General features: G+C 49.5%; 1 protein-coding gene and 1 long non-coding RNA gene across 10 annotated transcripts in view, besides 4 other annotated features; one reads left to right on the top strand and one right to left on the bottom strand.

Annotated features, from left to right (window-relative positions):
* The window catches only part of TMEM51-AS1 (TMEM51 antisense RNA 1), a 40,650-nt gene extending 14,553 nt beyond the window's left edge, over positions 1 to 26,097 (top strand). The window contains exons 2-5 of the long non-coding RNA NR_027136.1: positions 13,539 to 13,684; positions 16,853 to 16,940; positions 19,008 to 19,585; positions 20,105 to 26,097. This is a non-coding gene — a long non-coding RNA (TMEM51 antisense RNA 1). The remainder of the gene's footprint in view (positions 1 to 13,538; positions 13,685 to 16,852; positions 16,941 to 19,007; positions 19,586 to 20,104) is intronic.
* Positions 19,869 to 27,762, bottom strand: part of KAZN (kazrin, periplakin interacting protein) — a 1,225,220-nt gene continuing 1,217,326 nt past the window's right edge. For 7 of the 9 annotated variants that reach the window (XM_011541074.4, XM_047415845.1, XM_047415858.1 and 4 more), the window contains one exon: positions 19,869 to 25,485. In XM_011541074.4, coding sequence (XP_011539376.1) covers positions 24,888 to 25,485 — 598 coding nt within the window. In that variant the 3' untranslated portion in view covers positions 19,869 to 24,887. The remainder of the gene's footprint in view (positions 25,486 to 27,762) is intronic. The other 2 variants (XM_005245795.6, NM_201628.3) reach the window with 1 other exon arrangement.
* Positions 24,890 to 25,468: an enhancer, noted in NCBI's record as "H3K4me1 hESC enhancer chr1:15438940-15439518 (GRCh37/hg19 assembly coordinates)". NCBI's record gives its function as "activates a minimal SCP1, AML or CMV promoter by ChIP-STARR-seq in naive H9 embryonic stem cells {active_cell/tissue: H9 hESC(naive)}" and the evidence as "EXISTENCE:reporter gene assay evidence [ECO:0000049][PMID:30033119]".
* Positions 24,890 to 25,478: a biological region, named in NCBI's record as "H3K4me1 hESC enhancer GRCh37_chr1:15438940-15439518".
* Positions 25,339 to 25,478: an enhancer, noted in NCBI's record as "active region_231". NCBI's record gives its function as "activates an Ori minimal core promoter by ATAC-STARR-seq in GM12878 lymphoblastoid cells {active_cell/tissue: GM12878}" and the evidence as "EXISTENCE:reporter gene assay evidence [ECO:0000049][PMID:35858748]".
* Positions 25,469 to 26,048: an enhancer, noted in NCBI's record as "H3K4me1 hESC enhancer chr1:15438360-15438939 (GRCh37/hg19 assembly coordinates)". NCBI's record gives its function as "activates a minimal SCP1, AML or CMV promoter by ChIP-STARR-seq in naive H9 embryonic stem cells {active_cell/tissue: H9 hESC(naive)}" and the evidence as "EXISTENCE:reporter gene assay evidence [ECO:0000049][PMID:30033119]".

Genomic DNA, 27,762 nt, shown 5'->3' with positions numbered 1-27,762 from the left:
TCTTATTTTTTGTTTCTTCTTTTTCTTGATGCATAATTTATGTTCAGTGAGGTGCAAAATTCTCAGGAGGCTGGCTTGATCAATTTTTTTTTTTTTTTGAGATGGAGTTTTGCTCTTGTTGCCCAGGCTAGACTGTAATGGCGCAATCTCGGCTCACTGCAACCTCTGCCTTCCAGGTTCAAGCGATTCTTCTGCCTCAGCCTTCTGAGTAGCTGGAATTACAGGCATGTGCCACCAAGCCTGCCTAATTTTTGTATTTTTAGTAGAGACAGGGTTTCACCATGTTGGCCAGGCTGCTCTGGAACCCCTGACCCCAGGTGATCCACCCACCTTGGCCTCCCAAAGTGCTGGGATTACAGGCGTGAGCCACCATGCCCAGCCAATGAATTTTTACATATGTATATACTCATATAGCCACTGCCTGGATCAAAATCAAGAACATTCCCTGACCCAAAGAAGGTTCCCCTTGTATCCTCTTCCAGTCAAAACCCCTAAAAATAACCTCAGCTTGAACCTTCATCACCATAAATTAATTTTGCCTATTTTTGAACTTCAAATAAACAGAAATCATGCAGTATGTATTCTTTTGTGTCTAGCTTCTTTCATCATCATTGAGTCTGGGAGATCCAGCCAGGATGTTGTGTATAGCTGTATTCTTCTTCTTCGTTGCTGTGTAATACTCCATTGTATGAATATACCATAATTTATATTTTCATTCTCCCATTGATGAGCTTTAGGGTTGTTTCTAGTTTGGGGCTATTATGAATAAAACAGCTATGATCATTTGTGCGCATGGCTTTGGCACCCAGGAGCATTCATTTCTGCCAGGCATGCACACAGGAGTGTTTCCAAGCCTTGTAGTCATTCTACTTGAAAATGCTCCAAGATAAGGCAAAAGGGACCTAGTGTGTGTCCCTCACCTCCCCACCCCATACCCACTCTAGACCAGGCTCTGGGCTCCAGGCATGGGAGCTGAGAGGCAGAAAGAAGAGAGAGGGCACCACGCCGCAGCAGCCACATTCAGAAGAAGATGTAAAAACCCCTCTTGCCAGGTGGGTGTGGTGGCTCATGCCAGTAATTCCAACACTTTGGGAGGCCAAGGTGGCTGGGTCACCTGAGGTCAGGAGTTCAAGACCAGTCTGGCCAACATGGAGAAACCCCGTCTCCACCAAAAATACAAAAATCAGCTGGGCGCAGTGGCAGGCGCCTGTAATCCCAGCTACTTGGGAGGCTGAGGCAGGAGAATCACTTGAACCTGGGAGGCGGAGGTTGCAGTGAGCCGAGATTGCCCCGTTGCACTCCAGCCTGGGTGACACAGTGAGACTCTGTCTTAAAAACAAACAAACAAATAAACAAACCCTCTTGCCAACAGCACTTCCGCTTTTAAAAAGGTCATCTGGTCTTTTGCTGGAAATGTGTGCATGAGAGGTTTTCTGAGCCTTGGGAGAAGGTTCCCTTCCCGATGGTGCCTGTTGACCTGAGATGATCTAGTCTAATCTTCCCATTTTACAGGTAGGAACTGGTGTCCAGGGAAGGGAAGTGATGCTTCCAAAGCCACACAGCTGGTAAATGACAGGGTCAGGAACACCAAGTGCCTTAGCTTCCAGTGGCTTTGTGTGGGGAAAAGAAAGAGAGATCAGATTGTTACTGGGTCTGTGTAGAAAGAAGTAGACATAGGAGACTCCATTTTGTTCTGTACTAAGAGAAATTCTTCTGCCTTCAGATGCTGTTAATCTGTAACCTTACCCCCAACCCTGTGCTCCCTGAAACATGTGCTGTGTCCACTCAGGGTTAAATGGATTAAGGGCTGTGCAAGGTGTGCTTTGTTAAACAGATGCTTGAAGGCAGCATGCTTGTTAAGAGTCATCACCACTCCCTAATCTCAGGTACCCAGGGACACAAAACACTGCGGAAGGCCGCAGGGACCTCTGCCTAGGAAAGCCAGGTATTGTCCAAGGTTTCTCCCCATGTGATAGTCTGAAATATGGCCTTGTGGGAAGGGAAAGACCTGACCGTCCCCCAGCCCGACACCCATAAAGGGTCTGTGCTGAGGCGGATTAGTAAAAGAGGAAGGAACGCTTCTTTGCAGTTGAGACAAGAGGAAGGCATCTGTCCCTGGGCGATGGAATGTCTCAGTATAAAACCCGATTGTATGTTCCATCTACTGAGATAGGGAAAAACCGCCTTAGGGCTGGAGGTGGGACAGGCGGGCAGCAATACTGCTCTTCAAGGCATTGAGATGTTTATGTGTATGCATATCTAAAGCACAGCACTTAATTCTTTACCTTGTCTATGATGCAGAGAACTTTGTTCACGTGTTTACCTGCTGACCTTCTCTCCGCTATTATCCTATGACCCTGCCACATCCCCCTCTCTGAGAAACACCCAAGAATGATGAATAAATACTAAGGGAACTCAGAGGCCGGCGGGGATCCTCTGTCTGCTGAACGCCGGTCCCCTGGGCCCCCTTTTCTCTTTCTCTATACTTTGTCTCTGTGTCTCTTTCTTTTCCAAGTCTCTCGTTCCACCTAACGAGAAACACCCACAGGTGTGGAGGGGCAACCCACCCCTTCAGCTTTGTCTGTAAATTGGGAGGAACAATTAGATGCATTGATCTTCCCCAGAGATAATTGGGCTACCTTGGAGCCATTGTCATCAATGTTTAGGGTTTTCTAGTAACCATTCTTCCATGGTTTTTGGATGCAAGCTTTTATTTTTTAAATTTATTCTTTTTTCAACTTTTAGATTCAGCAGGTACATGTGCAGGTTTGTTACAAAGGTATATTGCGTGACGCTGAGGTTTGGGGTTTGATGGAACCCGTCACCCAGGTAGTGAGCGTGGTACCTAACAGATCGGTTTCAACCCCTGCTCCCGTCTCTCTCTCCTCCCTCATAGCCTCCAGTGTCTGTTGTTTCCATCTTTATGTCCATGTGTAGATGCCAGATGTCACATTTACTCTATTCAACATTCAAGAGACCATTTTGAGGCCGGGCGCAGTGGCTCACGCCTGTAATCCCAGCACTTTGGGAGGCCAAGGTGGGTGGGCAGATCACTTGAGGTCAGGAGTTCAAGACCAGTCTGGCCAACATGGTGAAACACTGTGTCTACTAAAAATACAAAAAATTAGCCAGGTGTGGTGGCAGGCGCCTGTAATCCTAGCTACTCGGGAGGCTGAGGCAGGAGAATCACTTAAACCCAGGAAGCAGAGGCTGCAGCGAGCTGAGATTGTACCACTGCACTCCAGCCTGGGGGACAGAGCAAGACTCCATCTCAAAAAAAAAAAAAGTCAATGTCCTTATGGTAATCTATAATGCCCTACTGATGCCCTCTGCCTGCCTCACTTCTCTGACCTCAGCTCCTACCCCCCTCCCACTCACCTCACTCCAGCCAAAAGGTCCTCCTCAATGTTCTTCAGCCCGGACCCCAGTGCCTCTGACCCCAGGGCCTTTGCATTTGCTGTTCCCTCTGCCCAGAATAGGATATCAAACAGTGTCATCTTAGACGAGATCTCTCTCCAGCTCTTGGCTTCACCTCTTCTGTACTGTCTTATTCTTAGGCAGCCTCTCTTTTTCATTGTGGTGCCTCTGGCTCCTCCAGGCTGTCATCCTCCAAGGGGAAAAGAGAGTATTTCTCTTGGCCAATAGTTCAATATAAGTCCTGGAATGGAATCGTATTGGCTCTGATGAGGTCACATGCTCATTGCTGACCCAATCTCCAGGGACAGGCAGGAGAATGGAACACGAAGCTCCCATGCTTCACTGAAACCACAGGGTTCCACGTGGAATACGGGGAGGGAACAGGTGGGCTGAACTTGCAGCTATGATCCAATACTAATGGTGACAATAAAAATGATAACAACAATAATAGTAGTGGCAGCCAGCATTAACACAGTGCTTGCTCTGGTCTCAGCAGCAGGAAGGCGGGAAAACATCTGAGACCTGGGCCAGATGCACCTGTCAAGGTGTCTTAGGAAACTCTTACCTTGGGTGTGCAGTTGGGCTGAGAAAGCAGTGATATCCAATCTTGTCCACATGTTAGCAGCTTCTTTTAAAGAATAACTGTGGGACCCACCTCAAACCAATTGAATAGGAACCTTCTGGGGTGGAAAGGAACTCTAACATTAGGGTTTTTAAACTCTCCAGGTACTTCAAACATGCCTTGGCTCTGTATATTAGTCCGTTCTCACGTGGCTATAAGGACATACCCAATACTGGGTAATTTATAAAGGAAAGAGGTTTAACTGACTCACAGTACAGCATGGCTGGGGAGACCTTAGGAAACTTACAATCATGGTAGAAGGGGAAACAAACACGTCCTTCTTCACAGGGTGGCAGGAAGGAGAATGAGAGCTGAGTGAAGGGAAAAGACCCTTATAAAACCATCAGATCTCATGAAAACTTACTATCATAAGAATGGTATGGGGGAAACCACTCCCATGATTCAATTACCTCCCACTGGGTCCCTCCCATGGCACGTGGGGATTATGGAAACTACAATTCTAGTTGAGATTTGGGTGGGGACACAGCCAAACCATATCACTCTGGTACTAAAAACCAGCTAGCTCATTGGGGCTGGGGTGTGCTATCTGCAGTTTCAGCAACCACCCAGGTGATTCTCCTGCTCATTTATAGCTTGAGGGTCTCTGCACAAGGGCCTTACTTCCCATAATTGCTTGGCACCCTGAGGTCAACAGATAAGGCTGGTCCTGACCAGAAGTGACCTGCTGGTCACATGAGATCACCTGCTAGTCACCTGAGGGCTGAAAGAATAAACATCTCAGGCACCTCGTGACCATTCTGCAGGGGGAGCTTGATGCAAGGTCTCTTGTATGAGTCTAAGAATCTTTAAAATTGCCCTGTTCGCTTTAGAAGGACCCCAGTTTTATTTCTTGATGTTCTCATTTTCCTATGAAATTAGTAGTATCTTTCATTCCTGGAGGAAAAAACTAGTCCTTGCCCCTTGTGTTAAAAATTATTTCTCTCCTCCCAGGTATGCAGTTCTACAGACAAATGGAGATTCTTTAATAGCAGGGCTGCCTGGGGGAGAAAAAGTTATTCTGGCCTTATTTACCCAATGGCATTTCAATTGACAATGAACACGAATGCCCTGATTGTTGTTTTGTGGGTTCTGGCCAGTCCACACCGGAGCTGGTTACATTTCAAAAGTTTCTTGATAGGTGGGTGCCTGGGAATTAAAATATATTTCCTTGGCCTGGTGTGGCTGGTCACACCTGTAACCTCACACTTTGGGAGGCCGAGAGGGGAGGATAGCTTGAGGCCAGGAGTTTGAGACCAGCCTGGGCATAGAAAGACCCCATCTCTACAAATTGTGTGTGTGTGTGTGTGTGTGTGTGTGTGTGTGTGTGTGTGTGTGTGTATTTTTTTTTTCTTCTTATAGTGACAGTGTTATCAAAACCAAGGTGGTTTTCCAACTTAGCCCACAAATATCTATTCAACTCATATAATTGTAGAAAGTAACCTGGGTGCAGTGGCTTACACCTGTAATCTCAGCACTTTGGGAGGCCAAAGCAGTGGATCATCTGAGGTCAGGAGTTTGAAACCAGCCTGGCCAACATGGTGAAACCCTGTCGCTACTAAAAATACAAAAATTAGCTGGACGTGGTGGCATGTGCCTGTAATCCCAGTTACTCAGGAGGCTGAGGCAGGAGAATCGCTTGAACCCGGGAGGCAGAGGTTGCAGTGAGCGAAATCTCATCACTGCTCTCCAGCCTGGGTGACAGAGCAAGACTCTGTCTTGAAAAAAAAAAAAAAGTACTATCACAACATGAGTAAGTTTTCACTTATGTAACTCATCTAAGATTTTAGATGGGAAAATGTAAAAACTGATTCCAGAGTTAATAGAACTTGTGTTGTTGGAAAAATGTTCACATCTCCCTCTTAACCCAAATGTTGGCCCGGAGTGTCTGTGTCTGGGTGCTGTGCTGTGAGGGCCGGGGGTCACCATCCTGGGCAACGGCTTCGTGCAGACACCTGCTCAGTCAGGCTGGAGGCCCCAGCAGCCAACCAGCTGCTGTTTCTCAGTCTGGTCACTGCCCAGACCAAAGCAAGGACAAGAGAGGGGACAGGTGCTCTTGGGAGATGCAGTTGAGAGCAGGGATGTGCTTAGCTGGGGCTGCACCCTGGCAGGCACAGACTTGCTTTGAGATATTGCATTTTATCTTGAACAAATTCATGCCACCTTTGCATTCTACCCAACAAAACTCTCACATTTGCGGGGCACAGTGGCACACGCCTATAGTCCTAGCTACTCGGGAGGCTGAGGCGGCAGGATTGCTTGAGCCCAGGAGTTCAAATCTAGCCTGGGCAACATAGTAAGACCTTGTTTCTAGAAAAACCAAACCAAAACGATTTGTTTTATTATATACAGCTTAACCCTTCTGTGCCTCAGTTTCTTCATCTGTAAAAGAGTGAAAATAGCAACACCTGCCTTGTAGGGTTGCTGTGAGGACCGAATACATTTCATTATATTTAATGAACTTAGAATAATGCCTGTCACCTAGTAAGCACTACACAAGGTTAACTATTACTATTATCAATGTTGTCACTATTATTCATCTCATTAACTTACTAGTTGTCTGGAATCAGTTGCCTGGGAGTGGCCCCTACTCTGGTTTTCAACACAACACACTCTTAAGAGCCAACTGCACACTCTGGGGGAGGAAGGGCAATGTTTCTGCAAATTGTTGTTCCCTTGGCATATTAGTTATCTATTCCCATGTTACAAATTATGCCAAAACGTAGTGGTTCTGTGAAAAACAGTATGTATTATTTCATAGGTTCTGTGAGTCAGGATGAAAGCTGGTGCTCCTGGTTCAAGGTCTGGCACAGGCTGCAGTCAAGATGCCTAACAGGCTGCATTATCCCGAGGGTCAACTGGGGAGGGACCTGCTTCCAGGCTTACCCACGTGGTTGTTGGTAGAACTCAGCTCCTTGCAGGCTGTTGGCCAGAGACCACTTTAGTTCCTGGTCAAATGGGTCTCTTTATGGGATGGCTTACAACTTGGCAGCTGGCCTTATCAATGCAAGCAAATAAGGAGACACACACACACACACACACACACACAGAGAGAGAGACAGAGAGCGAGCACGCCCACACATACACAAGCAAGATGGAGGTCACAGTCTTTCATAACCTAATCTCAGGAGTGACAGCCCATCATTTTTACTGGATTCTATTCTTAGAAGCAAGACATGACCAAGGAGAGGGGACTTCACAAAAGGTGGGGTCATTGGGAGCCATTTAGAAGCTGCCTGGTCTGTTGGGGGCACAACACCTTGAGATCATGGGCATTAGAACCAAGTTTGATGCCAACTTTTAAAAAATTTTATTATTGGATCTTGAATTCCTAGCCTCAAGTGATCCTCCTGCCTTGGCCTCCCAAAGTGCTGGGATTACAAGGATGAACTGCCATGTCTGGCCCAATGTGAGCTGTTTCTCTTACCTAGTGTTAAAATAAAATGGGAGGCCATTAGGCTGAGGTGGCTCCCATGCCCTGGGATTCTATATAAACAAGGTGAAGCTTAACCTTAGCCAATCATAAAAGACCAGCTAAGCATTAATTACATGATCAGGAACTTTCCACCAGGATCATCTAAATAAGGCAACTGCCCAAACCTTAACCAATCAAATAATTTCTTTATTTTCCACATTCCTTATTTAATTTATCTGATTTTCCTCTTTACTCTATCAAAGCCCTTCCTTCAAACTCCTCTGGAGGAGCCCTGAACCACCTTCGATTTGGTGCTGCCCAGTTCATGAATTGCTGTTTGCTCAAATAAACTCTTTAACTTTTTAATGTGCCACCATTTATCTTTTAACACCAGCAGTGTGAGTCCCACACGTTGCTCTATCTCACCCAGCCTCGTCCCTGAGGATCAAATGTTACCTACCTTGATGAGCCACCTTGCCCAGTGTGTGAGTTTCCCGTGGCTGCTGTAGGAGATTGCCACAAACTTGGTGGCTTATTCTTGCACGGTTCAGTGGCCAGAAATATGACATGGGACTCACTGGGCTAAAATCAAGGTGTCAGCAGGGCTGTGTCCCTTTCAGGAGGCTCTAGGGAGAATCCGTTCCCTTGTCCTTTCCAGCAGTGAGAGGCTGCCGGCACTCCTTGGTCTGTGGCGCCTTCCTCCATCTCCACAGCCAGGAATGGAAGTTGAGTCTTTCTCATGTTGCACCGTTCTGACCTTTTCAGTAGCCACACTTACCTCTGACCCACTTCTTTCTCCTCCTTCACCCAGCGTTAAGGATCCCTGTGGCTACATAGGGCCCCCTGGATAATCTAATCTAGATATTCTTCCTATTTTTAGGTCAACTGATGAGCAGCACTCATCTCACCTGCAACCTTAGCTCCCTCTGCCATGTAAAGTATCACAGTCACGGGTTCTAGGAACCAGAGTGTGGGCCTCTGGGGACCCATCATTCTGGTGACCATGGAGTCCTTCCTTGAATCAGTTTTCATGTGACCCAAGGGCCTCCCCTTTCTCACAGGCCACACCTGGCTGCCTGATTGTCCCTGGCAGGGGGGTCCTGGCACCCAGAGGAGGAGGCGCTCCCCATATGCCCAGGGGCCAGGAGGGAGGCTCATTAATCGTGTAGGAACATGAAGAGGAGGCAGGCGGCTGGACAAAGTGATGTTCAGGGTCTTGCTTCGAGGTTCCCACGTGTGTGTCTGACTCCCTGGGGCTGCCCACGTGGTCCTGTGGTCCTGTGGTTTTACTCCAGGAGGCCACCTGCCTGCCACCCCTCAGAGGAAGGGAAAAAGCTGCCGTTTCACGTTGGAGCTGCACGCACAGAGGAAGACCTCCTGCCTGGCATCAGGCCATTCCTCAACTCATCTCCTGCTGGGTGGTCTATCGTCCTCACAGCGTGCTGGGCTCAGGATCTGGGCCTCCTGGCTGGAAGGGAATCTGGGTGGCTTAACAGGTTTTATTTGTCCTGAGGCCAGCTTTCAAATTTTGCCGACCCCACTGATGTTTCTGGCATCCTGTGGAGGAAAGAAAACAAAAGCCATTTCCCCCCCAAAAGCCACCTTTTGGGATTGCAGACAGCTGGCAGGGATGGTGGGGGGCCCTGCCCACCTGAAACTTTGTCTACTGGGCCTGGATCTCTGAGTGGCCTAGGCTGCTTTGGTCCTTCTTGAGCTGAGCTGGGCTAGGCTGGTGAGGGGCGTATTGTCCTGCCATCTAGTGGCGAGTTCTGGGACTGCGAGCTATAATGGCCCAGGCGCTGCCTATAGTGGAGCCATATATACCAGGGCGGTTGGTCCCAGGCCCCTGGTCATGCCACAGAATCACCAAAGGAAGTTTAAAAACTACGTAGGCTCCAGACTCACCCCACACCTAGTGAATCAGAAATCCCGAGGCCTGGAAATAAGCATTTTAACTTTAGCGTGTAGATTCCCTAGGCCCTATCTCAAAACCCTAAATTATTGGCTTTGGAGAAGGACCTAGAAATCGGAACTTTTAACAAGAGTACTCCAGTGACTCTCGTGAGCAGCTTGACTTGAACACCACCCATTCAGCTGCCCACAAGATAAATGAGGCAACTGTGGGATGTAGATTATTTTAAAAGCTGATACAATATTCGATCGTATTACTAGGAGCATAAAGTCCAGGTTAAGGGAGGATAGCAGTTAAAAACATCTGGGTTCGAATCCCTACTTTTGATACTACTAGTTATGTGACCCGGGGCCAGTGTCTTAACTTTTTCCTGCCTCTGTAAAGTGGGGATAAGAGTACCTGTCTGCCAGGATTACAGCAAGGACTCAATTAGATCTCATGTAAAGGGCACAGGGCCTGACCCTTGGGAATTGGGCCCTTCATTACGATTCCACTGCTTGGGCCTATGTGGGAGCACGGTGTCCTTATTCAGGGATGTATTTATGAGAGGATTGTCCAGAGAAGGAAGAGATGGAAGGGGAGACCATGGAAGAAGGACAAGGGGCATGGAAAAGGCTTGAGGGTCTGTAATGGGGTTGGGGGAAGGAGATGTTTTGGGAGGGAGGCATTTATGCTGCTTAAAAAAAATAACAGGCCAGGCGCGGTGGCTCACGCCTGTAATCCCAGCACTTTGGGAGGCCGAGGCGGGCAGATCACCTGAAGTCAGGAGTTCGAGCCCAGTCTGGCCAACATGGCGAAACCCTGTCTCTACTAAAAATACAAAAATTAGCCGGGTGTGGTGGCTCATGCCTGTCATCCCAGCTACTCAGGGGGCTGAGGCATGAGAATCACTTGAACCCAGGAGGCAGAGGTTGCAGTGAGCCAAGATCGTGCCACTGCACTTCAGCCTGGGTGACAGAGCAAGACTCTGTCTCCCCAAAACAAAACAAATAACAGAGGGTCAACGTGGAAGAGGGACCAGGAGGCAGAGTGATAGAAAGTCCCCATGAGCAACTGGAACTAAGAAGGGCACAGGCAGACTCATGGTACAGTGAGCTCACAGCCACAGGAGACTGCAGGCCGATGCTGCATGAGGAATCTGTTGGGTGCCATAAAGCAGTGGTTCCCAACTGTGGCACTTATGTCCCTCATGGAGTGTGACCTGATTTGGGGGACATGCAGGTGAGCATTTGCAGGAATATTTATTTGTATATTTATGTGCATACTTGGCACATAGAGGCACACATATCCGTACCCACATCTATGTATTAGAAAACAGAGCCAGCGTCTTAGGCCTGTGGTTACACAGACACAGGCAGTGATGTCAGGTCTGGCCCGATTTAAAATAGGCAGCTATTATGCCAATAATAGTAGAGCTGGTTGTGGATGTGGTTGGAATAGTCAGGGTGGTCTTGGGGAACCCAGCCATAGAGGAACTTTCTGCTTGGGTTTGGAGACTGATGTCAGTGACATGGACTGGCTTTCCTGTGAGTGAGGACTCCACCCCAGGGCCTTCACTCTTGTGTCACCAAGAGGGTGTCGGCAAAGTTGCCGTTTTTAACAAGCCAGTCTGAAGCCTCTGGTGACCTCGATGCTGGAGTTTGTTGGGTTAAGTGACCACAAAACCAAATGAACCTGCCCACCTAACACGTGTCTCCTGGAGTCTTTCACTCTTGCTTTGTGTTTCTTTTCTTCACAGCACCTGCTGACATGATATATATGTATGTGTGCATTATTTCAGGCCAGAGACTGTTTTGTCAGTAGATCTATTTCACATAGTGCTGGCATAAGGCACACACACCCAGCAAGTGTTTGTTGAGTGAATAAATGATGGAAGCAACTTTGATAAGACTTGCTCCAGTTGTTTGGGGATGCCAGTTGCATGCCCATCTATCTCTGAGAGGCTCCTGGAAGAGCATCTTGCAGCAAGTGTACCAGGGCTCTGTGCTGTCAGGGTGGTGTTGGCTCCATCCTCTTGGCGCTGGGTTGATCTCTATCCTGAGCTAGAACCGGAGTTGTCCTGGAGAGGAACCTGGCCAGAAAAGAGCCATGTGGAAACCCTGTGAAGAAACCAAAAGAGGGGCGATGGTCCTGGGGTGTCCAGATGGTGGCATGGCAGTGAGGAGACACAGAGCCATAACTTGCCCACAAAAGCAGCCTGGCTTCTGACTCTGCAACTCTCACAGGCTCAAGGGGACGACATTGTAACCAAAATGCAGATTCAGTTCCTCGCCACTTGCAGAGTCTAATTAACAAGCTAGGTCTGGTATAAAGAAAGTGACTTTTTATTCCAAAGCTAACATAGGGAAAGAAGTACAGGCTTCCTGCCTTAAGGGTTCCACCTTGCCTTTGGAGCAGAAGGGGAGTGTTTTTAAAAGGGGCCTACACAGGGGTGGAAGTGAGCAGGGGGGTTTCACATGCTACCTTGATGGCTTATTTACTGGGACTCGAGTTGGCATCTTCATGGGCATACTTTGGGTCATCAATCAACTGTTATCTATCGAGGAAACCTCCTGGTGGGTGAGAGTTTTGCTTTGGAGCTTCTAAGCACATGATTAGGTGAACTTGCCCTGTAAGGAGTGTGTGGGGAAGAGGAGGTAAAAGGCTATAACTGCATTTCTAAAGAGCTAAGTAGGAAGTGAAGAACAGGGAGAAATGGAGAAAAGAAGAGAAAATAATAAAGAATAATAGTAACTCCTTGTCTTTTTCCGGGAAAAATGGGGGCACTTGTTACTCATCTCTAGCAGCAAGACTGGGTCAATTAAAAAAACAGAAGAATTTAGGATTCTTTCATGCTTCCAAGTTGTTCTGTGTAATGCAGATAGAGTCCTTAAAATGCAGGCGAGAGTTGTGTGTGTGCATGTGTGTGGTATGTAGTTGCTGGGAGAAAGGGTGGGAGTCACCTCAGTGTCAAGGCCAGTGGACAGTAGGTCATTTACCTGGGAATCTTCTCCAGTCAAGCATGTGGAATCCAATTCTAGTTGTCTTTAGCTGGTGATGGGGGTAGTGTGTGAGACTCTTACGTGCTGAATTGCATATCCTCAAAATTCAGATGTGGAGTACCTAAGGGTGTATTTGGAGATCAGATCTTTAAAGAGGTAATTAAGTTCAAATGAGGTCAGATGGGTGGGCCCTAATCCAACATGACTACTGCCTTATAAGAAGAGGCGATTTGGGCACACACATACATAGAGAGGCAACCGTGGATGGACCACAAGGAGAATATGGCCGTTTGCAAGCCAAGGAGAGGGGCCTCAGAAGAAGCCAACCCTGCTGGCACCCTGAGGTTGGATTTCCAGCCTCCAGGACCATAGGCGGGTCCATGTCTGTTGTGCAAGCACCGTGGCCTGTGGCTCTTGATTATGGCAGCCCTAGCAAACTAAGACACAGAGAAATGGGAATGGTAGGGTGGTGGTGCTTAGTGCATCACAACCAAACCTCAGAAAGCAGGGGTGGACGTGGCCTTGGAGACGACTGGATCTGAGAATAGATCAGTTGTCCTTGCCCCCCTCCCGCATCTAGGCATCCGACTCTGGCTGGGCCCCGTTCTCTAGGCATCTCCTTGTGGGTGGGATGGGGCAGCCTGCAGCTCTGGGACTCGTCGTACAGCTTAAGATCCAAAAAAAAGCGGCAGCTCACCGCCACCTGCAATTCTGAGCCCTGTCGGAAAGGGTTCTGATTTTCACCTCTCAGGTTTGGAGTCTACTCCCGGGCCTTTCATCATGGGCCAGGGCTGCAGGGCTGGATTGGTCCAGCCAGGATCCTGAGACTTCCCTGAAGGCGGGGTTGGGGGTGAGGTGGGGGCAGCAGGATCCTAAGGGCACTAAGATCAGCAGCACCCCCACCTCCAAGAACTTCACGGAGTGGGGGCGGAGCAGTTCCCTGAGGCCAGCCAATCAATCGGGAGGTCTCAGCAGAGATGCTTTCCCCTCTCCATCCTGATTGGTTCCCACCCAGGAATTTCCCATGAAATCCAAACCACAAGGCTCGAGGCGGACCCCCACTGGGAGGTCCCGGGCCGCGCCTGGGGCGCAGGCAGGCGGGTCCCTGTGAGTGTGTGGAGTGGTGGTGGCTGTCGACGGCCATGTGGCGTCATGGTGATAGGAGGGTGTCCATTCTTTTTCTTCCTTATCTAGGACTTGAGGTGGGACATGGAAGAACAGGGACCCCTCCTGGTTTGTCCACCCAGCCCACACCTCCATTCCTCACCCAACCTACCACTTCAGAGCCGGGAAAAGACCTCAGAGAACATCCGCTCCGACTCTACCGAGGCTCAGACAGGGTAAGGAGTTGGCCCCACGTCACACAGCCTGGTGTATGTGGCAGAGCCTGGGTGACAGACAGTCAGCCCCACCAGGTCTTTCAGCTCCAACCTTGGTTAGAAGGGGAGGAAGGCTGGCACACCCAGCTGCTGCCAGGCACCGCCGCTAATGTGCTGTATTAGTGGCCGGGCCTGAATCACTTGCCCAATTTGGACGTGGGCAAGTTTCCAAAATGTCCTGGTTGTTTCCTATTGTCTATTTTTAAAAAATGATGGCCTGTAATCCCAGCACTTTGGGAGGCTGAGGTGGGTAGATCACCTGAGGTCAGGAGTTCAAGACGAGCCTGATCAATATGGTGAAACCCCGTCTCTACTAAAAATACAAAAACTAGCCGGGCGTGGTGTCGCGTGTTTGTAGTCACAGCTACTTGGAAGGCTGAGACTGGAGAATTGCTTGAACCTGGGAGGCGGAGGTTGCAGTGAGCCGAGATTGCACCACTGCACTCCAGCCTGGGCGCCAGAACAAGACTCTGTCTCAAGAAAATAAATAAATAAAAATAAATAAAATTTAAAAATTTAAAAAAGGTGGTGATGATGCAGGTGTGGTGCAAGATTAGCTATTATAAGTACTCACCGAACCAGACCTTTCTAAGTCCCTAAATTATTACCTTGTTTTAAGTCAGGAGCTCACGGGGCTGATGGGGCTGTCTTTACCCTTTAAGCCTATAATTTACAGAGCAATATTCTTCCAGGCAGAGGGGGTGGATCCAGCTTCCAACCGTGCAGTACTTAATAATGAGGAGGTCTTTTTCGCCTTGGGGACATCTGGCTTCAGGAAATTTTACTGTAAACAGCTGGGTGTGACCAGCCAGCTTTAGGGCCAAGGCTGTAATGGCCCAGTGGGTTCGAGCCCAGACTCCACAGAGAGCCAGTCTGCTGAGGCTGAGGTCCTAGCTGCCACTCACTAAGGTGGGACACTGGGAAATCTATGGAACACTCCGTGCCTCAGTTTCCCATCTGACCAATGGGGAAAACAATGCTTACCCGAGATTGTTGTGGAGACTAAATGAGCAAAAACACATACAGCTGTGATTCTCAATCAGGGATGATTTTGTTCCCCCAGGGACATTTGGCAATGTCTGGAGAAATTTTGAGTTGTTCTGACTAGGTAGACAGATGTTGTTACTGGCATCTAGTGAGTAGAGGCCAGGGATACTGCTAAACATCCTATAAGAATGATCTGGGCTTGGTGCGGTGGCTCATGCCTGTAATCCCAGCACTTTGGGAGGCCAAGGTGGGAGGATTGCCTGAGCGCAGGAGTTCGAGACCAATCTGGGCAACAAAGAGAGATCCTGTCTCTACAAAAATTAAAACAAAACAAAACAAAAACTGGCCCAGAATGTCAGTAGTGCTCACTGAGAAATGCTGGCGTAAAAGACAGTGTGATGGTCCAATCAGTATTGGTGCTTATCAGTCCTCAGCTCAAGGTTGGATGTCCCTGAATTCTCAGTTCTCTTTCTGGCACTTATGTGAGCTGCTGGGTGCTTGGTCTTAAGTTTTTTCTCCTGTCTGAATATCAGGGGGCTCCTCTCCCCTGGAGTCTGCCTGCCCAGCCCCACCTGCAGGGGAGAGGAAGCCTGTGTTGGGAAAGAGGAGGCCCCTGCCGGGCCACTTTAGAGGATCCACTGGCTTCGCACGTCCTAAGAGCCGCAGGGTGCTCTTGGGCTGCTGTTCTCTCACCTCTTAAGAGCGGAAAATCCGTGCATGCATTGTGTCCTCAGGCCATAAGCCTGGGTGGGCTGCCTCCACCCTTGGTGAGTTTGCAATCCTATCCAAGCCAATGGGATTCCACCCTGAGACTTTGCTAGAACCGCCTGGCAAGAGGGTCTCTCTTGTGCAGGGGTTGCTGGCTGAGACAGTGTTTGTCTTGTGACCATTTTGCCAACAAATGGGGACAATCTGTCTGAGAATTAACTGGTATAAACGATAGCAAACCCAAGAGGTGAAGAAGGCTGAGTGTCTTGAAAGCAACATCGGACACCCTGGCGCCAGCTGTGTCCAAAGCCAGCTGTTGACCTTGAGTGTTCTTTACGTATGCCGCTTCATTCCCATTTACTGTATTTGCAAACCATTCTTTGAGTGGGGTTTCAGTCACTGGTCACTGGCTGTATTAGGCCATTCTTGCATTGCTATAAAGAAATCCCTGACACTGGGTAACTTATAAGAAAAGAAGTCTAATTGGCTCATGGTTCTGCAGGCTATACAGGAAGCATGGTGCCAGCATCCCCTTCTAGGGAGGCCTCAAGAAGCTTCCAATCATGGTGGAAGGCAAAAGAAGATACCTTCTTCCTACTTTCTCTCTCTTGCTCCTGCTTTTACCATGTATTGTGCATTACATGGTAAAAGCAGGAGCAAGAAGGAGAAAGTAGGAAGAAGATGCCAGCATTTACAACAACCAGATCTCGTGAGAACTCACTCACTGTCACAAGGCTAGCACCAAGAGGATGGTGCTAAACCACTCATTAGAAATCGGCCTCCATGCGGAGCTTGCAGTGAGCCGAGATCATGCCACTGCACTCCAGTCTGGGCAACAGAGCGAGACTCCGTCTCAAAAAAAAAAAAAAAAAAAGAAAAAGAAAAAGAAATTGGCCTCCATGATCCAATCACTTCCCACCAGACCTCACCTCCAACAATGGGGATTACAATTCTACATGAGATTTGGGCAGGGACAAATATTCGAACTATATCACTGGCTCATGTAGAAATTCTACCTGCCCTACGGTCTTTTGTTTTTCTATTTATGTTTTCCTGCAGCCTTATTTTTTTTTTCCTCATTAGCCAGATTGGAAGTTTCTTGAGGGCAGGGCTTGTATAATAAACTCAATCCCCTCTGGATGCTATGAGGCAGCACTGTTCAGTGGAACTTTCTGTGACAAAGAGGATGTTCTGTATCTGTTCTGTCTGGTACAGCAGCCACCCACTAGCCACATGTAGCTATAGAACACCTGAAATGTGGCTAGTGTGACTGAGGAATGGAGTTTTAAATTCTAATTTAATTTTAATTCATAATTTGAGTAAATACGTGTTGCCTGTGGCTGCCATATTGGCCGGCACAGCAGGGTAGCATCTTCCATGGGCAGCTGTTGCTCTGTGAATTTTTATATATTTATCTGTTCGTTTGCTTAACAGACAACAAGAGTGTGCTGGACACTGGGAAATGTGGTCCAGGAGCAGTCACAGTCCCTATAGACCTCCCACAAATTACCGTAATGCAAAGGTGAGAATGTGGAATGTCTCAGAGGAGACCCAGATTATAGCCTCTGGAATTCAGCGGAGATCTCTCGTGGTCCAGAGAGATGTTGCAGAGATGGGGTGGGACTGCGTAAGACTCCTCAAGGGCGATTAGTCAAACACTGAGATGAACTGATCCATCTGCGCTCTGCTGAGGAGCCCTTCTGGGATGTAAGTCCTCATCCGAGAGGCAGCTGGAGGGGATGGGGCCCGGCAGAATAGGGTTAATGCAGCCAAAGTTCAAATTCTGGCTCTATTAGCAGTGAACACTTGGGAGAGCTCCTTCACTCACCGACTCTCATCAGGAAAATAGTGATAGCATGAACCCCTCCAGATGGTTTTAGGATTAAAAGAGATACTTGTGCAAAGCCTCAGCATACGGTAAGTGGTTGGAACAAACATATGCATAGAATCTTAGCTGCCAATTATTAGGAGGACTCAGCCCTCTCCTCCTGGGGGGTGCACTGTGAGGCTTAGAAAGACTAAGGGAGACCCAGCCCCTCACCTCCATCCCACACGAGGCTCTACCCTTCCTTGGGGGCCGGGTCTTCCTTTCTTGACTCCCCTCAATGCCAGGGCTGCCTGGGGTGCCGGAGATCAACCACAGAAAGAAGCCCTGCTTGGTTCAAGTGAATTGAGGGGAGCTGGGCATTTCCCACCGGTTTGATGAAGCTCCTCTCCAGCTTCATTCCCTGCCACTGGGAATCAGCGGCACAACTTGCAACCAACATGGCTGAAAACAGGCATCTTGGGCAGATTCTACCTGACACCTTAGTTGGCAGCCAATCAGTTGTGCCCTGGCTACCCTAGTGCCACCTCATGGGTCCCTTGCATTGGGCTGTAGCCTGATAAATCTGATTTAGCCATGAGCCAGAGCAAAGGGAAAGAGCGAACCATTTGCAGAAGGCGGGGCCTCATGTCCAGGTGTAGCACTTAGGAAGCACTAATTGCATCTGGGATGACACAGATGTACGGGAGCCAGGTCGAGGGTCCTGGGAGGGGGCAGAGGCCCAGCAGAGGATCTGCCTGGTGCCCCTTCTTTACCCTCAGGAGATGGTACCCTCACCCCCAGCACTCCAGCCTCAGGGGGTCCTTTGTAGCCGTGGGGCTCTGCCCCTCCTGCCACAGGACCTTTGCACACTGTTCATCCTGTCTAGAATCCTCTCCACCTGCTGAACTCCCCTCCACCCAGGCCTCACCTTCTCTTTTCTACATTAAATCCCCCATGTGAAAAGATATGAAAAGCCCTCTGACTACCAGCTACCTCTGCTGTCAAGACTTACTACAGTTGGCTGGGTGTGGTGGCTCACACCTGTAACCCCAGCACTCTGGGAGGCCAATGTTGAGGGGGATTGCTTGAGCTCAGGAGTTCAAGATCAGCCTGGCAACATAGTGAAAGCTCTACAAAAAAAAAATTAATCAGGTGTGGTGACATGACCGTAGTCCCAGCCACTCGGGAGGCTGAGGTGGGAGGATTGCTCGAGCCCAGCAGATTGAGGCTGCAGTGAGCTATGATCCTGCCACTGCACTCCAGCTTGGGTGACAGAGCAAGACTTCATCTCAAAAAAAAAAAGAAAAAAAAAAAAGACAGACCACAGTGACACTTGGCGGAGTATTTAATTCATGTCTGTCTTTCCCACCAAGAGGGTAGTGGTTGGGCAGGATTTTTTCACCATTACGTCCCAGCATCTAGCTCAGGGACTGCCTGCCTGCCTGGGATGGTCTTCCCCCAGATCTTTGCAGGGCTGGCTCCTCAGAATTTAGGTCTCAGCTCAAAAATCCTCAAGGATCCCCCGCACTCTACTTGAAGTCCCGATCACACTTGTCACTATCTGAAATCAATCACCCTGGCCACTGGTGTGTTTCTTACCTCCTTTCATGACCTGTGTAAGTTCTGCCACTGGATCCCCACCACCAAGGACCAGCCCTGGCTCCCAGGTGGATTGAACAATACAGTATCTGTGGTCAGCCTAGAGAAACTGGCCATCCCCAGTCTATCTTTCAGCGTCTTCTAACTTTTCTTGTCTCCTCCCCATTTAATACACACTTCCAGAGTGCTCAGCCCCTGCCGACATGAGCAATGGGCAGCGCGTCCAGCTGGGTTCCTGCCCCATGAGAAGCACACAGCCTGGTTTGGTAGGTGGGGCTCCATCAGGGCTGTTTGGATACCTGGGTGGAGCCCACAGACCAGCCCCCACCTTGTGTGGTTAGGGCTTTGCTAGGAAGGCCCATCTGTGCGCCATGACCTTGGAACTCGATGTGAGATCCCTGGACCGGCAGCAGCACCTGGAAGCTTGTTGGAAATGCTGATCTCAGGTGGGACTCCAGAATTCCCGCATCTGCACCTGCACTCCCAAAATACCTCCCCACCAGGTGATCCGAGGCCATGGGGCGGTCTGAAGGGCACTGTGCTGGGGCGTCCCACCACTAGAAATCCAGTCCGGTAATCTGAAGATGTAAGTGCCCCCAGGAGGAGTGACGGAGTGACACAAATGACACAAGGGGAGGGGACTTGTCAGGTGTCCACTCCTGACTGCAAGTTCCCAGGGCAGAAGGCAATGCCCCCACAGGGACTTTTCCAGACACTCCGAGTGCACCTGAATTGCATTTTGAGTGATGCTGCCTGCTAAGGTAAATCCTATGCTGGGAGGTGGGGGGAGGGGGGTTTGCCAACATTGCAGGGGGGTGAGGGTTGGGAGAGTGTGTAATTGTGAGGATGATCCTGGGATTTGGAGGCAGATGGACTGGGTTTGAGTCCCTGCCCTGGGATGTCTTAGCTTTACAGAGCTGGGCAAGGCCCTCCACCTTTCTGATCTCAGCTTCTCCATCTGTGAAATGGGTTCAAAATCTCACAAAGAGGCTGCTGGGAACACTAAATGAGAAAACACAGAAAAAAGCCCCCTCTGCCATAAAGTGCTGTGCAGTAGTATTTATTGTTACAGTGTTAAAATTCACTCTCGGGGAAGCGATTTGGGGCCACGGCCCTAGAAACTGCATCTTTGTTCAGAGCCAACCCATTTCCTCTGCAGCCACAAAATGCCTTTGTGTGTCAGGGCTCGGGAGATTCTCCTCGCTGGCCAGCCATTGGCAAGAATGCCAGACTCAGAGGTTGCCATTGCCCACAGGCTTTCTTCTCCTTTCCTTTCACAGCAGGAAGAGCCCTCCGGAGCCTCGAAAAGCAGAGTGGAAGTGGTGGTGCCCAGGACGCATGGGCTCTGATGGGAAGAGGGAGGTGGGCCTGAGCATGGGCCTTCTTCTCCCCAGGTCAGAGGGGCCTGGATGCCCCTGGAGGGAACACTGAGGTCACCTCTGGCCAAATCTTCCTGTTCTGCCAGTACCCAGCCCTGTTCAGTGACGTCAAGCTTTTGGGTCCCTGTCCTGGGGCCCTCCACGCTGGCCGGGCTGTGTAGAGACGCCCTTCTCTCCACTTTATTGGGTCCAGATTGTTGTGTGGCTTCTCCCCTCCTCTGCAGCCTGGGGTCTGAAAACAGCGATGCCAACAGACAGACAGATTTCCAAAAGAAAGGTCCGGCTCAGCCAAGGACAAAGGGGCCTCGCAGAGGCTCCTGGGGGTCAGAAAGCTGAGAGTCTACCAGGCAGGTGCCTTCTCCACCCACAGGCACAAGCTACAACAGCTTTCCAAGAAGTGCATCCACATCGTCCCCAGGTCCAGATGCCCACATTGCCCTGCAGGGACCAAGACCACACTCGGGCTGCTTGGACAGGATGTAGCTGGTCACTGTTCTGGAGCTGGCCCCTCTGTAGCCTGTGACAATCAGCTTGAGTCTCTCTGCCAAGTCTCCGCCTTCTGTTCTTCTTGCCGACCTTGAAGCAGAGTTGACGTTTCAGGTTTTTCCAGCAGACAAAGCTCACTCAATCTGATACTGTGGAGGTTGTTAATTTAACAACCAACCCATCCTCATGTTGAGAAACCAGCTCCAAATGCTCACCTGGCTGTCAGGGATGGGGAGCCTCATGGGTGAAAGAGGGTTGTGATGGCATAATTTAAACCAAAAGAGGCATTCGCGGTTGCCCGTGTTGCCTCAGGCCTGCTGGCCTCCTGCTGTGAACATTTTGGGCAATACTGTCTCTGCCAGTGACCCCCAATTGTCCACTTGTCTCCAGCAAGATCGAACCATGTAAGTGCCATTTCTGACAAGTTGGGTGAACGTTGGTTTCAAATCATCAGCTCTGCATTCAAGTGCCCTGCTACAATTCTGGCTCACTCTGTGGGAATAACTGCCTGCCTGGGCACGTTGCTGTTGCTGCCTCCCAAACGGCAGTTTCTGGGGTCCCAGGTCATCCAGGCTGGATGTGGCTTGGGAGAGACCTGTGGCACCAGGTTGGAGGGAGGTCTCACCTCTCCTTTCTGAGCTGTGGACTGCAGCTTCAGGACCCTATGGATGAGGCCGAATGTCATGAAGATAATGGAATTTGGAGTCTCAACAAAGCCAAGCCACATGCCAGAGATTCACCACCTGGGGCCCAGGATCAGAAGTGTGCCCTTAGGAGGCCAAACATCCACCTGTCTACCAACTAGACATTTGGTCTCAGACAGCAAGAAAGGCTGCGTTTATGTCATTAGGGGGAACACCACGGTCTTCGGCATGAGAGAGGTGTAATTCTCAAGTTCATCAGAGCTCGGCTTCCCCCATGAGAGGAAACAATTTGCCAGGTTGAAGAACACACGCTTTGAGGGTTCTCAGAGGCTGACACCTGTTGTGAATCTTGGAAACTCAAGCCCCAGTGCAAACGGCCTTGAAGGAGGTCGAGCATCATGGTTCCAACAAGTGACTCGCTTTGATAACCCGATGTGTAAGCAGAATCGCAATGCATCCGTCCTTCCCTAATCATCACGTGGCTGTCATCTGGTCAATGAACTGAGGCCCGAAGGCTTGAGTCAAACTGGTTTTCAAGGCTGTGCTCATGGGATTTATATGTTTCTTGAGCCCTGTTGGAGGCTCTTGGCAGGTCTGAACATTAAACATTTCTTTTCTTCCTTTTGCACACTGCTTCAACCTAAAGAGTTGGAGCGAACTAGCTCTATATCATTTCTGTGTTGTAAATGGGAAATTAGCTACCCCATAACTTCCCATTGTCTCCTGAGAGGTTACAAATTGTGTTACAGATATTAGCAAGTGTTAATCCTCACGATGTCCCTGGGAGGGAACCAGAAGTATCGTAGATGAAGACATCGAGGCACAGAGAGGTGAGGCCACTGGGAAGAAGCCACACAGCATAACAGTGGCAGGTCAAGAAAAGGGCTGGGGTTCTCCCCACCAATACCAAATGATTTTGCTCTGTGGAGTTTGTGTCTCGGTTAGGACATTGGTGAGCTATGTCACCTATGTTTCAGGTGACAGGGACATCACAACAAAGGTTTGTTGGGTTAACAATGTCAAGCATTTCCCTGCCCCAGACCCCAAACTCATTGCCACACTCCATACCACTGTCACGGAGTGCAGATAGTGGGGTTTGGAATCTCAGTAAAGCCAAACCACAGGCCAGAGATTCACCATATGGGGCCGTCGGTCATCCCCGATCCTGTTGTCCCAATAGCTTTCATTCTGGTGATAGGATATCTGCATCTCCTAGAAATGTGGCTGCTAAGCCCCACTCCTGCACGGATCATTCACCGGCTCCCCACTCAGCGTAGCCACTCCTGGGTGGATCGGCAAACAGCTCTTCAATACGTCCACCCCCATGTGTCACAGAGCTTTTCAGGTGGAAGGATTTTGCATTCTCCCAAGAGAGATTCAGTGAGCCAAGTCAGGACCCAAGTTCTCAGTCAAGGGTAAGATGCTGTAGCCGAGAGTTCCCCAACCCCCGCCCTGTCCGACGTCTCGGCAAGAGGCAGCACTTCCTGCACCCGGCTCTGCCAATGCACTGGGCGCTGGGGTGTGGGGTTGGGGTCCCCCCTGCTCCCGCCGGAAGGGTGTTTTAGGGAACTGTGGGCCTCCTCCCACCTTGGCAGCTCCGTTTAAGGCTCCAGGGACTGCTTGGCTGCTCCACAGTGACGGTCACTCTGAGGTGGAGCCTGTGTATCCTGGATGGAGGCAGGGCCGGACACTGTGACAGGTCCTCTGGGCCCATCTCCAGCTGAACAGGAAAGTCCATGGCCCACCCAAGACAGGTGGGCTGGTGTCTTCTCTCTCCTGGGCGCTGTGGAGCTGAAACCGCAGAGTCCATCGGGATTTTGCCCAGGAGCAAGGGACATCCTCAGCCTGCGGCCGCTATGTACAGTGAGAACGACACCTGGGGCCATCTGGCTTCTCTTCCTTCCTGGGTCTCTCACGTTGGGTCTGGTGGAGCCACCAGTTCCTTACACGTTGGTGACCTCCAGGCTGTTGTAGCCTTCCAGACGGCACTGTTCCAGCCTGCTCTGGGGGTCATCGTCTCCGCAATCTTCGTTTTGAAGAGAGCCATAGTCATCATGGAAATCGGGATCTTTGCTGCTGAAGCCCCTTCCTATCTTCCCCAGGGGCAGCTGAGAAGAGAAGAATATGATCAAAGGACAGGAAGAAGAGAAACAAGAATTAAGAATGAAGGTCTGGGAAATGTCTCCAATTCTAATTGCTCTGTGATTGAGTAACTTACTTAACCTCTGTGTGCTCCTCCTATTAGTAATAATACTCCCTGCTCAGGGAGGTTGAGGGGAGTTTGTGAATGACCATTAGGGGAGAGCTTTGTGTCCCCCTGCCCCCGGAAGGATTCAGTTGGTTACCAAGGGTGAGGACAAATATCGTTAGTCTGATTATTCCTGATTCACAAAAGCCTCCTTCTTCCCTCCTTGGTGGGTGGAGAGTTGAGGAAGTGTGTCCTGGAGACTACCTGTGAGAATGTCTGAGCAGGCCCATGAGGTCTGACTGCACTCCCAAGTCAAGGAGGAATATTCTAGACGGCCTGGTGTGGCAGAAAGAATGCGAGTTTTGGAGACTCACAGACCCAGGTTCAGATCCCTGCTCTGCCACTTCCCAGCTGTGTGACCTTGGACAAGTCACTTCCCCTCTCTGAGCCCATTTTTCTCAGCTACAAAATGGGAATAGTAGTTTCTAACTCCCAGGTTTGTTGTAAAAAGTAAAGTCCCACCAGTCTGGCCAACATGGTGAAACCCCGCCTCTCCTAAAAATACAAAAATTAGCCGGGCGTGGTGGCGAGCTCCTGTAGTCCCTGCTACTCAGGAGGCCGAGGCATGAGAATCACTTGAACCCAGGAATCAGAGGTTGCAGTGAGCTGAGATCGTGCAACTGCACTCCAGCCTGACAGAGACCCTGTCTCAAAAAAAAAAAAGTCAAGTCCCATCTGCAAAGCACATAGCAAGTGCTTGCACCGAGTAAGTCCTTGATGTACTTGATGAATAGTGACTATTATTATCACACATAGTAGGCCTTCAAAAATACTTCTCTCTTACTGCACACATCTCTGTGTTAAAGTAGTCACATTAGTGCTTTGTAACTATTTATTTGACTGCCTTTCTTTCCAGACCAGTGTTTCCAGATCTTCTTTTTTTATTATTATTATTGCTCCCTAAGGAGACTTTTTAGACAGTTTTTTCCTAATTGCACCCCTGCTGTGAAATTGTAATGCCACAGACATACTACGCCTCTGCTTCCGTACCATATGTACATTTGTGCTTTTACATAGAAAGAATAAGAATTTTTGCCACCGCCCCCACCCCCCACCAGCGCCAAAACAAATTTTCACTCCTTTGGGGGGCAATATCAGCCCCAATTACTAGAATGCACGTTCTAGAATGGAGCTTCTTAAGGGTAAAGTGGCAATGTATTCATGTTTATGAATGAATGGGGATCATGCCTTCTTCAAATGGAAGACATTTTGGATTACCCAGTTCTGCCGTCTCTGTCTGTGCATTTCCATTGAGGAATCTGTGTCAGTTGGAGTCTGTGCAATCAGACCTGAACTGCACATGTTTTCATACTGTTTGGTTGGAGTCACCAGAGGGTTCATCTTTGCTATTGGTCAGGTCACTGAAGTCGCAAATTGAAATCAGTGATTGGGGCTCAGAGTTTGGGGCTGCGCCGGAACCCTCTGGGCAGCCTAGCTGAATGCAGGATCCCCCTCGCCCCAGAGAACTCCTTTTCCAGGAGACCAAGGTGGGTCCCAGAATCTGCAAGTTCAGTAATAGCCCCAGGTGATTCTCATGCAGGCAGGTGAGACCTGCACTTTGAGATCCAGGTGCTACTCGAAGCCCTGCGGGGGCTTTGTGCACTGTACCCAAAGCATCGTGAAGGTTCCTTGAAGGTACATCCAGGGCATCTGTCCTGGATGCCCCCGTGACCCGGCCTGGCACTCCACCTTCACAGGCCAGCACAGGAGCCACAGAGCTCCCGGGAGGAGAAAAAAAGACCTTTCCCGGGTCTGCAGGACTCACAGGTAAATCCATTGAGAGACTTACCCGGCCAGCCTTGTACTTGAGACCGCTGCTGTTCTCCTCCTTTCCTGCCCGCGTGACGCTGGAGGCCCTGCCAGGGGGCGTTCCAAAACGCTCAGCCTCCCGGATGCCTGTGGAGCTGAAGAGAGGACCATTTTGAGTCAGCAGGGGAGGCTCAGTCAGCTCCCCAGACACACACACACACACACACACACACACACACACACACACACACATTGGTGACAATGACCACAGCTGCTGAGACCGACTGATTACCTCCCACGTGCCATCCTTGTGCTCAGCACTTTATAAGCGTGATTCTCACAACATGCCTGGGGCTTGGGACTGCCAGCCCAGCATTACAGGGAAAGGAGGCCAGAGACAGCAAGCAATTTGCCCAAGACGACACAGCTGTTAGCGGCAGAATCAAGATCTGAACTCAGGCTTCTGACACTCCAAAGTCTTGATCTTAACTCTTCAGTGTACTGTGAACCTTACTGCAACAGACTCCAGATGAGAATCTCAGCATGGTAGCTAATTAGTTGTGCTTGGAGAAGCATGAGGAGTCTCCCCTGCTCTGAATTTGCAATCTGTGTCCCCCACCTGGCTTTCTGCCTGAAGCTGCCCCCATGACTCCCTTCTTTGTGCAAAAGCATGGAAGCTTCTGTTAGGATTTGGCCAACTACAGCCTGCCTGCAGGTCAAATCCAGCTGGCCGACTGATTTTATAAATAAAGTTTTATTGGAACTCAGCAGTGCCCATTTGCTTATGTGTTGTCTATGGCTGCTGTCTTGTTGCTATAAGGACAGAGTTGTAGACTTTTGACAGAGATCATATGGCTCCCAGATCGTAACATATTCACTATCTGGCCTTATACAGAAAAAGTCTGCATATCAATGCTGTGGATAAACAGATTTGGGGCAAGAGGCCCGGCCTGGAGCCAGAAGTCACCACGGAGGTAGACTCATTGAAAGAAATGAAACTTCTAGGCCGGGCATGGTGGCTCATGCCTGTAATCCCAGCACTGTGGGAGGCCAAGGCGTGTGGATCACTTGAGGCCAGGAGTTCGAGACCAGCCTGACCAACATGGCAAAACCCATCTCTACTAAAATTACAAAAAGAATTAGCTGGGCATGGTGGTGCACACCTGTAATCCCAGTTACTCGGAGGCTAAGATTGAACCTCAGGAGAATCACTTGAACCTGGGAGGTGGAGGTTGCAGTGAGCCGAGATCGTACCACTGCACTCCAGCACAAGACTCTGTTTAAAACAACAACAACAACAACAACAACAAACAACAACAACAGAACCTTCTAGCATCTTTTAAGCTGCCTCAGAGAAGTTCTTCTTCTGGGGCAAATTTTGCTGAGAAAGTTCAAGGGAGGGGAGTGGTGTGTAGGAGACAGCACTGATTGAATGGCAAATGAGCTACGTTCTCAAACTCTTGGGTTCCACAGGCTTCCACATAACAGGGAGGGCCTTGCTCAGTGGTGGGTCAGGAAATGCCCTCATGAATGGCCCCTCTGCTCCACCTGGAGGCGAAATTCCCCAGGTCCAGTGGGGAAGCAGCTGTAATTGCAGAAGCCAAAAAATGTAAACTCAGGTAGCTGGCTGTTTGCTCTCTGGCACAGAGGGGTGCTGGATCCCCCAGCTCTTGGAACACTAGCAGTCAAATAAGCCTGGGAGAGCCTCAGGGTCCCATCTCTTATTTTCACTGAAGAGACAGAAGACCAAAGAGGGGGTGTGTCTTGTCCAAAGATACACAAGACACCCAGTGGCAGGGATGGAAATTGAACTTGGGCCTCTGGGATCAAGGTCTAGACCACGGCCTTCCCACTTTGGGATTTAGGGTAGGACAGTGGTCGCACGTGTGGGCTCCACGTCAGCAGCCTGGCTCAGTGCCTTAGCGTTGGCATGGCCTGGGCCGCGTGCTGAGCAGAGTGGGGTTAATAACAGAACTTCCTCGGCAGGTCATTGTGAGGACTAAATGAGAGGATACACACACACACACACACAAACACATATGCACACACACAAACACATACACACAAACACACAAATACACACACATACATACACACACAAATACACAAACATACAAACACACACAAATACACACATACACAAATACACATGAACACATATGCGCACACACAAATACACAGACACACACAAACACACAAATACACACTACATATACACACATACACACAAACATACACACATATACAATATGCCCACACACAAATACACAAATACACACATACATATACACACACACAAACATACACACATATACACACACAAGTGCACATACACATATACATATATACACATACACAAACACACACAAACACCACCTAAACATACACACATACACAACACACATATACACACACAAACACATATGCACACA

Source organism: Homo sapiens, chromosome 1, assembly GCF_000001405.40.
Source record: "Homo sapiens chromosome 1, GRCh38.p14 Primary Assembly".
Classification (NCBI taxonomy): Eukaryota; Metazoa; Chordata; class Mammalia; order Primates; family Hominidae; genus Homo; species Homo sapiens.
Note: the sequence above shows the minus strand (reverse complement) of the source record. Positions and strands in the feature narration are given on the sequence as shown.